Source organism: Homo sapiens, chromosome 1, assembly GCF_000001405.40.
Source record: "Homo sapiens chromosome 1, GRCh38.p14 Primary Assembly".
NCBI classification, from domain to species: Eukaryota; Metazoa; Chordata; class Mammalia; order Primates; family Hominidae; genus Homo; species Homo sapiens.
In genome coordinates, this window is record NC_000001.11 from 29,298,012 (window position 1) to 29,311,937 (window position 13,926).

Genomic DNA, 13,926 nt, shown 5'->3' on the forward strand with positions numbered 1-13,926 from the left:
CTTGAGGAGGCAGAGGCAGGCAGATTGCTTGAGGTTAGGAGTTCAAGACCAGCCTGGCTAACGTGGTGAAACCCCGTCTCTACTAAAAATACAAAAATTAGCCAGGGATGGTGGCAGGCACCTGTAATCCCAGCTACTTGGGAGGCTGAGGCACAAGAATTGCTTGAACCTGGGAGGCAGAGGTTGCAGTGAGCCGAGATCACTCCACTGCACTGCACTCCAGCCTGGCAGACAGAGCAAGACTCTGTCTCAAAAAAAAAAAGACAAAAAAAAAAAAACCAAAACGTGTCCAGGAGATGAGCTGAGCTGTGCCTCAGCACATTCTCTCTCTTTATTCTTCTCTGCCCTCCACTTGCTGGTCTGCCTTCCACTTCCTTCTTTTCCAAACAGTGGAGGCCAGGTTTTTGTGGTTTAGAATGGAAAGCCATGTTGATTTTGGTGGATCCTTCTATGCAAATTTTAAATGAAGGACTTATCACTGTGGGTAACTGGTGGCGGGGCTGGTGTGAAAAAGCCAGCTGGAACCTTCCCAAGGTGTTGGAATGAGCCCTGTTGTCTCTGAAATCCTGCCTGCGAAAACCCTCAGATCCTCCTGGGCCTTGTACGTCTGGAGCTATTGACTCCTGTGGGTGCCAGTCGGTGTTGGCCAAATTGTTTGTCAAATAAGTGCCAGGTTTTTTCATGCCCATCAATGCCCCTTAATCAGGGAAGCAGAGAGAGCAGTGGGGACAGCAGGGTCTCAGAGTCAGGTGGATTCAAGCCTGGGTTTGAATCCTAGTGCTTCCATTTAATGAGCAAGTAGCTTAACTCTTCTGGGCCTCAGTTTTCTCGTTTGCACAAGAGGAACAATGGTAGTGCCCCTGCCATACGGATATTCTAAGGAATAAATGACTTAAGAATTGTGCTGGGCACTCAATATGTTAGATATGGCTAGCTCTTATTACAGGCTGTGCTTCTGTAGGAAAGAAACTTACTTGCTAATTGCAAACAGTGGAGGAAAAGTTTGGGGTGCTACCACATTGAATAACTGGGGGCCTCTCCTCATCTGAGGGTGGTGGGAATCAGGGAAAGTGCCACCACTGAGGGAGGGCTGAGGATTTTCATTTCCAGAAGAAGAAACTGAGACCCAGAGAGGTCAAGGAACTTGAGCCAGAATTTGAATTCAGGTCTCTCTGACTCCAAACCTAGTGTTCTTTTTTCTGGGCCTCAGCCCTCCCCATAAAGCATCAGCTGTCCAGTGGTTACTCACAGAAGATGTTCCACAGTCACGATGGTGCTAGGAAGAGCCTGGGAGAGTCCCAAAGTGGAGACTTTGAAGGTGGGCCTATGGGCAAACTGGTCCTTAGGGGTAGGGGATGGGGTGGGGTAGGAAGTGTGTCTCAAGTCCCACAGGGGAACTCATAGGCAAGGAGAGTAGGGACCTGTCCTCTCTGGGCCCAGGAATTGGAGGGTCCTTTTGGGAACATCATCATCCCTTCCTTTCCTGGTGGTCTTATTTGTAGAACATCTTGTGTTATTCTTAGGCTCAGCTGTCAGCTGCCCAGATGTGGCTCTGGCTTTCCAGGCGGGACTTTTTGCTTGTCCTCAGCCACTGTGCACTGATTGCATGCCTCCTTGTGGGGCTGTGCCAGGGCTGCCAGCCTTTCAGGATCTCTGGGATAAACTCTTTGATTCTCTGCCACCCTCATTTGCTCCTTTCTCTGCCAGGAGAGCTCTCTGTGGAGCTGTCGGCCCACTTTCCACAAAGAGCACGAGGGCTTCTCCATCTCGCCAGTTTCTTCTCTGAGTTCTTTGAGCCAACAGAAGTCCCTCTTCTTGAAACTGTTGCACTTGCCTGGTGGTGCGTTACGGACACTCCTTGGAATCATCTTTTCAAGCTGCCTTTTAGGTCCCAGACCCAAGATCTTACAGCAGAGAAGCACCAAGACTCTTGTCAGCCAGCTGCCATGGCTTTCTGGCACTCAGGGGCTTCCTTCCTTTCCTGGAAATGACTAGTAATGTCAACAGTTGCCCTTGCAGGTGCTCGCTGTGTGCCAGGCACGGGGCTGGGTGCTTTATATACATTATTATATTTAATATTTACATCATCATATTGGATTGTAACAATTTTTACCTTCACTTGACATGTGAGAATGGAAGTTTGGAGAGAGTAGGTAACATCCCCACGGTCACATACAGAGCTGGGAATTGATCTGAAGTCTTTCCAGAGCCCATCTCTCAGTGTCTACATTGCACAGTGTTCTCCTGAGGATGTTTCATGAAACAAACAAGAAAAGCCCTCCGTGGCAAAAGATGTTTATGAAACATTGCTGTTTCCACTCCTCTCTTGAAGATTTAAAATGCAAACAAACATGCCGAAAGCCCCGAGAGGTCTTGCAGGGAAGAAACCTGTTTGTTTTTGTTTAAACCAGAATTTCACAGACTCCTTTAAAACACAGAATTCCTCTTCCTCCTCTTGCTCTTCTTTTTAATGGGACACCACTTAATCATCTTGCATACCTACGATTTTCTGAAACACTTTGGCAACCACCAAATTAGGCCAGTCTTTTCTCTTTGGACCTCAGTTTCCCCATCTGTAAAATTAAGGGTTTGGGCATCCCACCACAATGGCATAACTGGTACTTGATTTGCCATCCAGCTGTAAGCAACCAGTAATCCAGCTAAAATATAGGAATCAATTGCTTTCAGACATTGAACTATAGGCAGCTGAAGACCGTGGTTCCTGAGAGCAGAGAAGCAAATGAGGTGAAGTCATCTTCAAACCATGGCACAGGAAGGTGGAACCCAAGCACAATGGGGCAGCCTCCCTGCCCTGGTTGGAGTTTGAGGAAGTTGAGCTCATCAGGGGGTCTCCTGGTGATCCTGCATTCATTCTACCAGTTAGTTGCTGAGTAGGAATTCTAGGCCAGGCACCGGAGAGGGTTCTTGCCGGGAGGGTCATTTCAGTTGAGAGTTGAAGGATGAGTATGAGTTCATCAGGCAAGAAAAGTAGGGGGAGGAGGAGTTTTGGAGGGAGAAGGACAGCATATGTGAAGGCACAGGGAGTGGGGGCAGGTTATCTAGGCCCCACTGACAGTCCCCCACTGGACCCTGCCAGCTTAGATCTGGGCAGAGATTGGCTTGAAAATGTGGGGAGGGCTGGAGTTGAATAAGCCCCTCACAGCCTCACCCAGAGCAGGAGGAGGGACATGCGTACAATCATGCACTGCATAATGAAGTTTTGGTCAACAATGGACCACGTATACCATGGTGGTCCTATAAGATTATAATGGAGTTGAAAAACTCCTATGACCTAGTGACATTGTAGCCATCATAATGTCATCGTGCAATGCATTATTCACTTGTTTGTGGTGAAGCTGGAATAAACCTACTGCATTGTCAGTTGTAAAAAAGTCTAGCACATACAATTATGTGCAGTACATAATAGTTAATGATGACTGTGTTACTGGTTTATGTATTTAATATACTATTAATCATTATTTTAGAGTGTACTTATTTTTTAAAAAGTTAACTGTAAAACAGCCTCTGGCAGGTCCTTCAGGAAGTGTCCCAGAAGAAGGCACCATTTTCTTTCTTTCTTTTTTTATTGTACTTTAAGTTCTAGGGTACATGTGCACAATGTGCAGGTTTGTTACATATGTATACATGTGCCATGTTGGTGTGCTACACCCATTAACTTGTCATTTACATTAGGTATATCTCCTAATGCTATCCTTCCCCCCTCCCCTCATCCCATGACAGGCCCCGGTGTGTGATGTTCCCCGCCCTGTGTCCAAGTGTTCTCATTGTTCAATTCCCACCTATGAGTGAGAACATGTGATGTTTGGTTTTCTGTCCTTGCAACAGTTTGCTCAGAATGATAGTTTCCAGCTTCATCCATGTCCCTACAAAGGACATGGACTCATCCTTTTTTATGGCTGCATAGTATTCCATAGTGTGTATGTGCCACATTTTCTTAATCCAGTCTATCACTGATGGACATTTGGGTTGGTTCCAAGTCTTAGAAGGCAACGTTTTCATAGGTGATGACGGCTACGTGTGTGTTATTGCCCCTAAAGACCTCCCAGTGGGACAAGATGTGGAGGTGGAAGACAGCGATACTGATGATCCTGACCCTGTGCAGGCCTAGGCTAATGTGTATGTGTGTGTGTGTGTGTGTGTGTGTGTGTGTGTCTTAGTTTTTAACAAAAAAAATTTAAAAAACGAAAAAAAATTTTAAATAGAAAAAAGTATAGAATAAAGATAGAAAATATTTTTGTATAGCTGTACTATGTGCATGTCATTACAAAAGTCAAAAAATTCAAATTAAAACATTTCAGTAAGCTAAGGTTAATTTATTATTCAAGAAGGAAAACTATTTTTAAATAAGTGTATTGTAGCCTAAGCATACAGTGTTTATAAAGCTCACAGTAGCGTACAGGAATGTCCTAGGCCTTCATATTCACTTACCAGTCACTCAGTGACTCACCCAGGACAGCTTCCAGTCCTGCAGCTTCATTCATGGTAAATGCCTTATACAGGTGTATCATTTATTATGATTTTTTTTTCTTTTTTTTGAGACAGAGTCTCGCACTGTCACCTGGGCTGGAGTGCAGTGGCGCGATCTTGGCTCACTGCAACCTCTGCCTCCCAGGTTCAAGTGATTCTCCTGCCTCAGCCTCCCAAGTAGCTGGGATTACAGGCTCGTGCCATCATACCCAGCTAATTTTTTGTATTTTTAGTAGAGACGGGGTTTCACCATGTTGGCCAGGTTGGTCTTGAACTCCTGACCTCATGATTCACCCACCTCGGCCTCCCAAATTTCTGGGATTACAGGTTTGAGCCACCACACCCGGCCCATTTATTATTTTTATAGCGTATTTTTAGTGTGCATTTTCTATGTTAAGATACATAAATACTTACCATTGTGTTATAATTGCCTACAGTATTCAGTACAGGTTTGTAGCGTAGGAGCAATAGGCTATGCCGTGCAGCCCAGGTCCATGGAGTAGGCTCTACTATCTGAGTTTGTGTAAATACACTCTGTGGTGTTCGCACAAAGACCAAATCACCTAACAATGCATTTTTCGGAATGCATCCCTGTTGTTAAGCGATGCATAAGTATTAAATGAGTGAGTGGGCGTGCGTGTCCCAAGGCGGGTGTGGCTATTTTCTCAGTCCCAGGACCTGATCTCCAAGACCAGAGTGGGACGTCCTTGGGAATGCTGAACAGAACAGCCGGGGACGGGGTGGTCCTGGGGGCTCGGGGGAGGATGGTTTCCCAGGGTGTGTGAGGAGCTGTGGACCTCTCCACCCACTCCCCCACTGGCTGCGGCCCCGCACAGGCTGACGGTGGAACTGCCTGCGCAGGAGAAAGGCGCCTATTCGGGTGCCTGGTGTTAATCTGCAGAGGGGTTGGCAGCAGCTGCTAATTTCTGATTTGCCTGTCTTTGAATGGGGGTAATTGCTGGGAGTTGCCAGTGTTCCAGGTTGTTCTCTGGAAGAGGGGGAGGAAGAAGCAGCTGTCATGGGCTCTGCGGAGTGCTGCCTTCTGCAGGTAGCATGGTGAAGCCTCGCTGGATAGAGTGAGGGGATAATGAAATCTAGCCAGGCAGGGCCGCAAGGGCCCTCGGAGGCCACCTGATCTGACCGGCTCATTCTACAGGTGGAACCGAGATTTGGAGGGAGGGAATGTGTTCAGGACCACACAGGGTGGGCCTGGCTAGGCTGCTTGGCTCCAGCCAACAACCCAGCTATGCTTGGCATTGGCTGTGCCTCCCCACCCCCATAGACCCCAGTCTCTCCAGGACCCCCGAGGCTGGGGCATGTGTGTCAAGAACCCTTTTGTCTTTCTCTGACTGCAGGAGACCAGCGCAGCGGTGGGGTCACTGAGGCCAGCAGCCTCCTGGGGGGCTCCCCGAGGCGTCCCTGTGGCCGGAAGGGCTCCCCATACCACACGGGGCAGCTGCACCCTGCGGTGCGTGTCGCAGACCTTCTGCAGCACATCAACCAGATGAAGACGGCCGAGGGTTACGGCTTCAAGCAGGAGTATGAGGTGCACGCCGGCCCCGGGCCAGCAGGATCCCTGCAGAGGCCTCACCTGGCTCTTACTCTCTGTGGACTCTGACCCTGGCAACCCTCAGCCTAGTCCTGGTTGGACGCCTGCTCTGACAGTTTCCAACTCAACCTTTTTGACCTCGACTCTGACCCTCATCCTAATTTTAGACTGATTTGGTTTTTCACTCTCATGCTAACCCTGATTTGAAATCTGACCTTGAATCTCGTCTCCATCTCTATGTGGACTGTGATCGGGATCCTTATTCTGTCCCTAAACTGAATCTGCCCACTGACACTGACCTTGACCTAATCCCAGCCTGACATTGATCCTGACTGTCATCCTAAGCTCCATTTGAACTCTGGATCTCATCCCACCTCTGTCTGGACTCTGACATCACCCTTATCCTAATCTAAATCTGACCTCACCTTTACCTTCTTTCTAACCGTTATTCTAAGCCTGACCCTTATTCCAAAATGTCTTTGAACCCTGGCCCTCTTTTCCTCTTTTCTCATTTCCCTTCCCCCCACATGCCTTGGTTTTGACCCTGGTCCCTGGCTGATAAAAGGACCCACAGTGACACAGTGACTTTATCTCAGGCCCAAGTTCAGCTTGAATCTGGCCCTTATCATCCCACCCCCATCCTGCCTACATCATCCCCACTGAGGGGAAGGGGCCCTCAGTGAGGGTCCCTCTCTCCCACTGACCACCACTTTTCTTTCTGGTAGAGCTTCTTTGAAGGCTGGGACGCCACAAAGAAGAAAGACAAGGTCAAGGGCAGCCGGCAGGAGCCAATGCCTGCCTGTGAGTCCTGGGGAAGGGCCTGGGGTCCAGGGCAGTGGGTGGGAGGGCATCAGGAGGGGGAACACAGCCAGGGTGAGCTGGGGCAGCCTCAGAGATGATAGTAGCATTGGCCACCTTTTATTGAGGGCCTACCACACGTCACGCCCTGTGCTTGTTTCATTTATTCCCTTCAATTTCCCTGTGAAACGGGAAATACTATAATCCCTGTTTTACAAATAAGGAAACTGAGGCTTGGGAGATTAAGATTCCTGCTTAAGGTCTCAGAGCCAGTAATTGCCTGAGCAGCATACACTCTTAGGCCTCCTTGACTCCATAGCCCAGGCTCTACCCCCTGGTGTGTCCTGCCTCCCATGGTGCCCAGAGACTACTGGTAAGCCCTGAGACTCTAGGTTCCCTGGCTGCCCTGCCTGTGCCCTATCCCCTAGCCTCCAGGAATCCCTCCCTGACTGCCTAGCTCTGGGCTCCCCAGTTCAGCCCCTGCCCACCTGCTCTGTGTTTACAGATGATCGGCACCGAGTGAAACTGCACCCGATGCTGGGAGACCCCAATGCCGACTACATTAATGCCAACTACATAGATGTGAGTGCCTTGCCCTGTCATTTCTGCAGACCTGGCCCTGCCCGCTCCAGGCTTACTATCCAGGCAGGGCAGAAACCTGTCGGGATAAATGGGGGTTCAAATGGCTGAGTTCGGAGTGCCCCTATCTCTGCAGTCAGTGCCAGGGAGCTCAGAGGAGGGAGGACAGTGAGCAGCAGCTTCTGGAAGGCTTTCTGTAGGTGGGAGTTGGCCTGAGAGATGAGGTGCTTTAGAGAAGCAAAGCAAAGGGAAGAGGCAGACAGCTAGGCCAAGAGGTGAGGAAGGCGGGAGGCATGGAGAATGGGATTCTCATCGTGCACCATGAGGCTGAAGAGGTAGGCAGGGGCTGGATTGTGAAGACCTCAAATGGCAGGCTCAGGAGTGGGGGCTTTTTCCTAGGGGCACCAGGGAGTTGTTAAAGTGTTTTGACCATGATCAGAGTGGTCCTTTAAGAATAATAACGCACATTTATCCAGCACGTACTGAGTGCCAAGCACTGTGCTAAGCACTTTACACCCAAGATCTCCTTTTCTGTAATCCCTCCACCCACCCTTTGAGGCAGTTAGCACCATGACCTCACTTTACAGGTGAGGAAACCGGGGCTCAGAGACGTGGAGCGACTTGTCCCAGGTTGCACAGCTAGTGAGTGGTAAAGAAAGGACGCAAATCTCAGCCTGTCTGTGTCTCTAAAGCCTTTGCTGCTGTGAGGCTGTCCTGCCCCCTGCTGCAGCAGCAGCAGGACTTGGATGGATTGGAGGGAGGGGCCAGAGACAGAGCAGGCAGCCAGGAGGCCTGGGCTTGGGTGTCAAAGAGAGGTGATGAGTCTACTTCCTAGGTGTGGAAGAGGGGCGAGGCGGGACAGGGCCCCTAATCCCTACAGCAAACCAAGTTTGGGAGAGCATCATTTAATCACGTATGAAATATATTTTGAGCACTTCCTTTGTGCCATGCATTGTGCTGGGCACCAGGGATACAGATGTGAACAAGACAGTCATGGCCTCTGCTTTCCTTGAACATATCTATTTGAGTGGGTGAGACAGATAGACATGTTTACAAATCAAAATAACTTCAGATTAGATGAGCAAGTGCAGGCCAGGAGAGAGATCACACAGCTTGAGTGTTACACAGCAGGCTAGTGGCAGAGCCAGGGCTGGTGTGGCGGGCTTTGTGGAGGAAGCAGGGCTTGAGCTGCCTCTGGGTGGCTGGAGAGGAGAGGGAAGAGTGTCCCGGGTGAGGAGCTGCCTAAGCAAAGGCCTGGGGGGCCAGGCAGAGCAAGGCACAGGTCTGGGAGCCGAGGTAGTCAGGGTCTCTGGAGGTGGCCTCTCCTCTCCCTCTTCTTCTCCTCCTCCTGGGGCCAGATGTGCCATGCCATGTTTCCCAGAATCCCTTGCTGCCTCCCCCACTCATCCTGTCCCTTGGTTGGAGTCAGGGCCAGGCCCAGCCTGGAAGACTTGGGCAGCTTTGGTGACAGCGGGCCTCTCCTTGGTCTTGCCAAGGTCCCAGTTGGCTCCTCTTGGGCCCTGGCAGGGACATGCCACTCCCCACTCTGTGGCTCAGCCCAGCCCGGCCTGCCCGTCTCCGCTCTGCCTGCCCTGCTCACATCGCCCATTCTGGCCACTCCTGTGCTCCGTCCACCTCCATCTGCCCCTGGCCTAATATCTGTCTCTTTTGCTTTGTACTGTTTCCTCACTGGAATCATTAAGATTCGGATAAACCGAGAAGTAAGTATCTCTCTCCCCTTCTCCTCCTCCTCCTCTTCCTCCTGTCTGTCTGACTGGCTGTATCTCAGACTCTCTCACGGTCTCTGGCTGTCTGTCTCTCTGTCTCTGTCCTTCCTTTCTACTTATGTGCCCAGCACCAACCGTCCATTTCAGCAGCCTGGCCAGGGGCTGCCCAGGGCTGAAGATTCGAGAGTGTTCCTATTGTAAGCAGTTCCCTCCCATCCTCCACTGCCTTGAGCAGGGGCAGCAGTGTTGGGGGTGCTTCCCCTGCCCATTCTGCACTGGTCACAACAGTCTGTCACCTTCCTTCCCTGGCTCCGCCATTCCCAAGGAGTCCTCCCTAGCCTCCCTAGCTGCACCTTCTACAGGACCCTTTGGAGGGTGCAGGGGAAGCTGCCCTGGAGGGCCCTGTTTCTGCTGCTTAAGGGTCAAGATCTTGGACAGCCCCAGGTCAGCCTCCTAAAACTACTTTCCCTAGTGTTCAAATACCTTCATGATCAGTTTGCCTGAAACTCAACCCCGACCATTTTACCCTCAATTTAGCCTTAATTTGAATGTTTTTTGGTGGAAGCAGTTTGGATAGTCTGTTTTTAAATATTATGCTTTTTTTTTTTTTTTTTTTTTTTTTTTTGAGGTGGAGTTTCGCTCTTGTTGCCCAGGCTGGAGCGCAGTGGCACGATCTCGGCTCACTGCAACCTCTGCCTCCTGGGTTCAAGTGATTCTCCTGCCTCAGCCTCCCAAGTAGCTGGAATTACAGGCATGCACCACCACGCCCAGCTAATTTTTGTATTTTTAGTAGAGATGGGGTTTCACCATGTTAGGCTGGTCTCAAACTCCTGACCTTAGGTGATCCACCTGCCTTGGCCTCCCAAAGTGCTGGGATTACAGGCATGAGCCACCACACCTGGCCCATTTTTTAGCCTTTTAAAATTAAAAAAACTACCCTAATTCATCTAGCTATTCTCTAATTTGATTTCTTTTTTCTTTTTTTTTGAGACAGGTTCTTGCTCTGGAGTGCAGGGGTGTGATCATGGCTCACTGCAGCCTTGAAGTCCTATGCACAAGCAATCCTTCTACCTCAGCCTCCTGAGTAGCTGGGACTACAGGCGTGTGCTGCCATGCCCGGCTAATTTTTTCCTTTTTTTTTTTTTTTTAAGAGATGGGGTCTTCTCAGCACTTTGGGAGGCCAAGGCAGGCAGATTGCTTGAGTCCAGGAGTTCGAGATCAGCGTGGGCAACATAGTGAGATTGCCTCTACAAAAAATACAAAAATTAGCTGGGCGTGGTGGCTCATGCCTGTAGTCCCAGCTACTAGGGAGGCTGAAGTGGGAGGGTTGCTTAAGCCTGGGAGGCAGAAGTTGCAGTGAGTCGAGATCGTGCCATTGCACTCCAGACTGACCAACAGAGCCAGTCCCTGTCTCAAAAAAAAAAAAAAAAAAAAGAGAGAGAGAGATGGGGTCTCACTATGTTGCCTAGGCTGGGGATTTTTAATACATATATACTGTTTTCATAATATTTAATGACTGGTGATTATTTGCTATTTTGTGGGTGCTTTTTCCATTTTGTCTCCTTTTTCTTTTAAAAAATATATTTCTTGGCTGGGTGCAGTGGCTCACACCTGTAATCTCAGTACTTTGGGAGGCTGAGGCGGGAGGATTGCTTGAGCCCAGGAGTTAGACCAGCCTGGGTAACATAGTGAGACCCCATTTCTACAAACAAACCAACAAACAAAAATTAGTTGGATGTAGTGGCCTGTGCCTGTAGTCCCAGCTACTTGGGAGGTTGAGGTGGGAGGATTGCTTGAGCACTGGAGGTCGAGGCTGCAGTGGAGACAGTGGCATGGAGCGACAGCAGGAGGGAATTGGGCTAGACGTGGAGAAGTTCCAGTGCTGAGGGCTGAGAGTCACTGGGAGGCTTTTCGTCATTAGTCACTTTGACTATGTTTTGGTCATTTTCGTGGGAACAGTGAGCAGGTATCCAGCAGAATCTCTGAGTGTTTGTCTTGCTATTATCCTCATATTGCAGAGGAGAACAAAGGCTTAGAGAGGCCAAGAGCCTGGCTACTCAGGATGTTTTGAGGCCAGCAATATGGACACCACCTGGGAGCTGGTGATGCATAATCCCGGGCCCCACCCCAGACCTTTGAATCTGAATCTGCCTTTTAACAAGATCCCCCGGGAGATTTATGTCTCAAGAAAGACTGAGAAGCACCTTCTCAGCGCTCAGAGTTACACAGCTACTGCTCGGCATAGCTGTGGCAGGGACCCAGGTCCATTCAACTCCAAGACTCAGATTCTTCACCCCATAGTCAATCGCCTTCTGCCCCAGCAATTCTTGACTTCCATTTGATACACTTGATTCATTTGTATCTTCAAGGATACTGCTTCAGCTTTAAAATAGTAGTAGTAATAATAATGGCTATTACTGAATAAGTACTGACTTTGTGCTAGACACAGTGGCAGACATTTAACATACTACTTTATTTGCTTCTCACAACAGCCCTCAGAGGTAAATGCTGTAATTATTCCATTTTATAGACATGAAAATGGAGGCATAGAGAAATGAAGGAGTTTTTGCTCAAAGGCACACAGCTAGTGAGAGGTAGAGCTGGGATTTGAACCTTGGCAGTCTGGCCCCTGGGCTCCTCAGGCCTGGGAAGTTCACGAGACCGGAGGAGTTGCTGGGAGCTGTGTTGAGGGTGTAAACTTGAGGTAGGGGGCTGGGCTAGTTTTCTCAGCGCCAGCCCTGCAGTACTAATTCCCCTTTCCGCATTGCCCGCATTGATGCCCTTGGTATCTGGTGAATTCTTTTGCTCAGAAAGATGAGGCCTTGTGGCAGGACCTCATGGGTGGCTGTGGCCCTGGGGTGGCTTGTCGGAGGGCAGGTTTCTCTCCTCAGCTTGGGGGCTCTGGGGATGGAGGATGAAGTAGCTCTTGGCCTCTCTCTCGTGGGAGGTGGTACTGGTAAAGTGCTTAGCACAGTACGTGACCATAACAGGGTCATTATTATTGATCTTAAAGATTTTAACATTTTATCCAAGGGCCATGAGTAATGTCTGTGCCCATATACTTCCATCCTGAAGCCCTCATCTAGGCCCCCCACGCTCTGAGTGACTGAGGAGTAAGGGGGAGGGGTACTGTCCATTCTGGTTATCCCAAGTGTGGGGGCTAAGATAACTGACAAGCTCTGGTTATCCCACGTGTGGGATCTGGGTTGATTAGAGCTTCTGGAACCCTGGGAACAGGGCAGGGCCATTGGGGACTCTGTCTCCGAACAACAGCCTGGCTGAAAGCAGATGCCTCTCTCCACTTTATGGGTGGGGGGTCCCTCTAGGCACATAAAGGAGTCATGTCCTCCCTGGGGTTGCACAGCCCAGGTTGGATTAAGCCCACGACTCTGGTGTCCCAGCTGTACTTCTCCACTTCCTTGGGGACCTGGGGGGATGCAAAGTCATCCTGCTTAGGAGGTCCTAGGGATGTGAGGGAGCAGTTCCCTGGTGGGGTAGGGGTTCTGCTGCTGGGAGGGGAGGGTAGAGGAGGTGTGGGGGAGTGAGGGGCTACTCCCTGGGGTCTAACCGTGCCCTCTCCTCCTGTTCCAGGGTTACCACAGGTCAAACCACTTCATAGCCACTCAAGGTACCTGGCACTTCTGCCCACATGCGCCTTCCCATGTGCCTCCCAGCGTGCTGGAATGCCCTCAGCTTGCCTTTCTGCCTCCCCTGCTGATCCGCTTGATTCCTGAATGTCTCCCCACCGTCGCCATATTCTGGCTCCCTGCTTGTTCATCTGCTCCCGATTCTGCTGGATCTCTTGGAATCTGGCCAACTGCCTTTGTCCCCTCTTTGTGTTTGTGTCTCCCTGATGTGCTCAGTCCATCTGTTGCTCCTGGTCTACCTGCCTGTCTCCAAAGTGGTGTCTGTAAAAGGGCCAGCTGGGCTCAGGCCTCATGGGTGTGGGTTGGGCCTCTCGGTCTGGTGGCTGCCTGGATTCTTCTGTTTGCATCCCTTTCCACGACTGTCCATCTGTCTGTCCCTCCTGGACACTCATGCCATTGCCCAACCATCTGGTCCTCCTCCAGGGTCCCATTCAGGATGAGCGGGCTCTTTAGCCAGGCCCTCTCCTGATGCTACCCAACCTCAGGGCCCTACAGGCATGCGTCAGCTGCAAGCTGGGTGTTGTGGGCAGCATGAAGCCCCCGTTGGGGCTCAGGAGGCCTCCTGGCCTGGGGTGTGGTGCTGGATGGTGCTGGATGTGCTGACCTGGGGTGGAGACCTTGTCTCAGGGACAGGCACCCTCTGCCTGCATCCCCAGGGCCGAAGCCTGAGATGGTCTATGACTTCTGGCGTATGGTGTGGCAGGAGCACTGTTCCAGCATCGTCATGATCACCAAGCTGGTCGAGGTGGGCAGGGTAAGCCGGGCTGTGGGGCGAGCTGGGGCGCATGGCAGGCCAAGGGGGCAGCAAAGAGCCCACTGAGTCCCGTCCTGTGGGGCCTCTAGGTGAAATGCTCACGGTACTGGCCGGAGGACTCAGACACCTACGGGGACATCAAGATTATGCTGGTGAAGACAGAGACCCTGGCTGAGTATGTCGTGCGCACTTTTGCCCTGGAGCGGGTGAGTCTCCCCACCGCCTGTTCCCTGCAGAGGGTGCCTGAGCAGGGATTAGAGCCCACTCCCACTTCCCCCAGCCCTGGGAGCAGGAGGGTGAGGAGCGCACCACTGCCCATCCCAGCAAGGAAGCTACTTGGTCACTGTTGGCTGGGAGCACTCTAGAAGGGCAGGAAGGTCACTG

At 50.8% G+C, this 13,926-nt stretch overlaps 1 protein-coding gene across 4 annotated transcripts in view, besides 2 other annotated features; it reads left to right on the forward strand.

The window, feature by feature from the left end:
• The window catches only part of PTPRU (protein tyrosine phosphatase receptor type U), a 90,279-nt gene that overhangs the window by 61,490 nt on the left and 14,863 nt on the right, over nucleotides 1–13,926 (forward strand). For 2 of the 4 annotated variants that reach the window (NM_005704.5, NM_133178.4), the window contains 6 exons: nucleotides 5,844–6,034; nucleotides 6,763–6,838; nucleotides 7,341–7,417; nucleotides 12,733–12,769; nucleotides 13,445–13,542; nucleotides 13,632–13,748. In NM_005704.5, coding sequence (NP_005695.3) covers nucleotides 5,844–6,034; nucleotides 6,763–6,838; nucleotides 7,341–7,417; nucleotides 12,733–12,769; nucleotides 13,445–13,542; nucleotides 13,632–13,748 — 596 coding nt within the window. Of the gene's footprint in view, nucleotides 1–5,843; nucleotides 6,035–6,762; nucleotides 6,839–7,340; nucleotides 7,418–9,117; nucleotides 9,136–12,732; nucleotides 12,770–13,444; nucleotides 13,543–13,631; nucleotides 13,749–13,926 lie in introns of all 4 variants that reach the window. The other 2 variants (NM_133177.4, NM_001195001.2) reach the window with 2 other exon arrangements.
• Nucleotides 12,683–13,183: an enhancer, noted in NCBI's record as "H3K27ac hESC enhancer chr1:29637206-29637706 (GRCh37/hg19 assembly coordinates)". NCBI's record gives its function as "activates a minimal SCP1, AML or CMV promoter by ChIP-STARR-seq in primed H9 embryonic stem cells {active_cell/tissue: H9 hESC(primed)}" and the evidence as "EXISTENCE:reporter gene assay evidence [ECO:0000049][PMID:30033119]".
• Nucleotides 13,184–13,684: an enhancer, noted in NCBI's record as "H3K27ac hESC enhancer chr1:29637707-29638207 (GRCh37/hg19 assembly coordinates)". NCBI's record gives its function as "activates a minimal SCP1, AML or CMV promoter by ChIP-STARR-seq in primed H9 embryonic stem cells {active_cell/tissue: H9 hESC(primed)}" and the evidence as "EXISTENCE:reporter gene assay evidence [ECO:0000049][PMID:30033119]".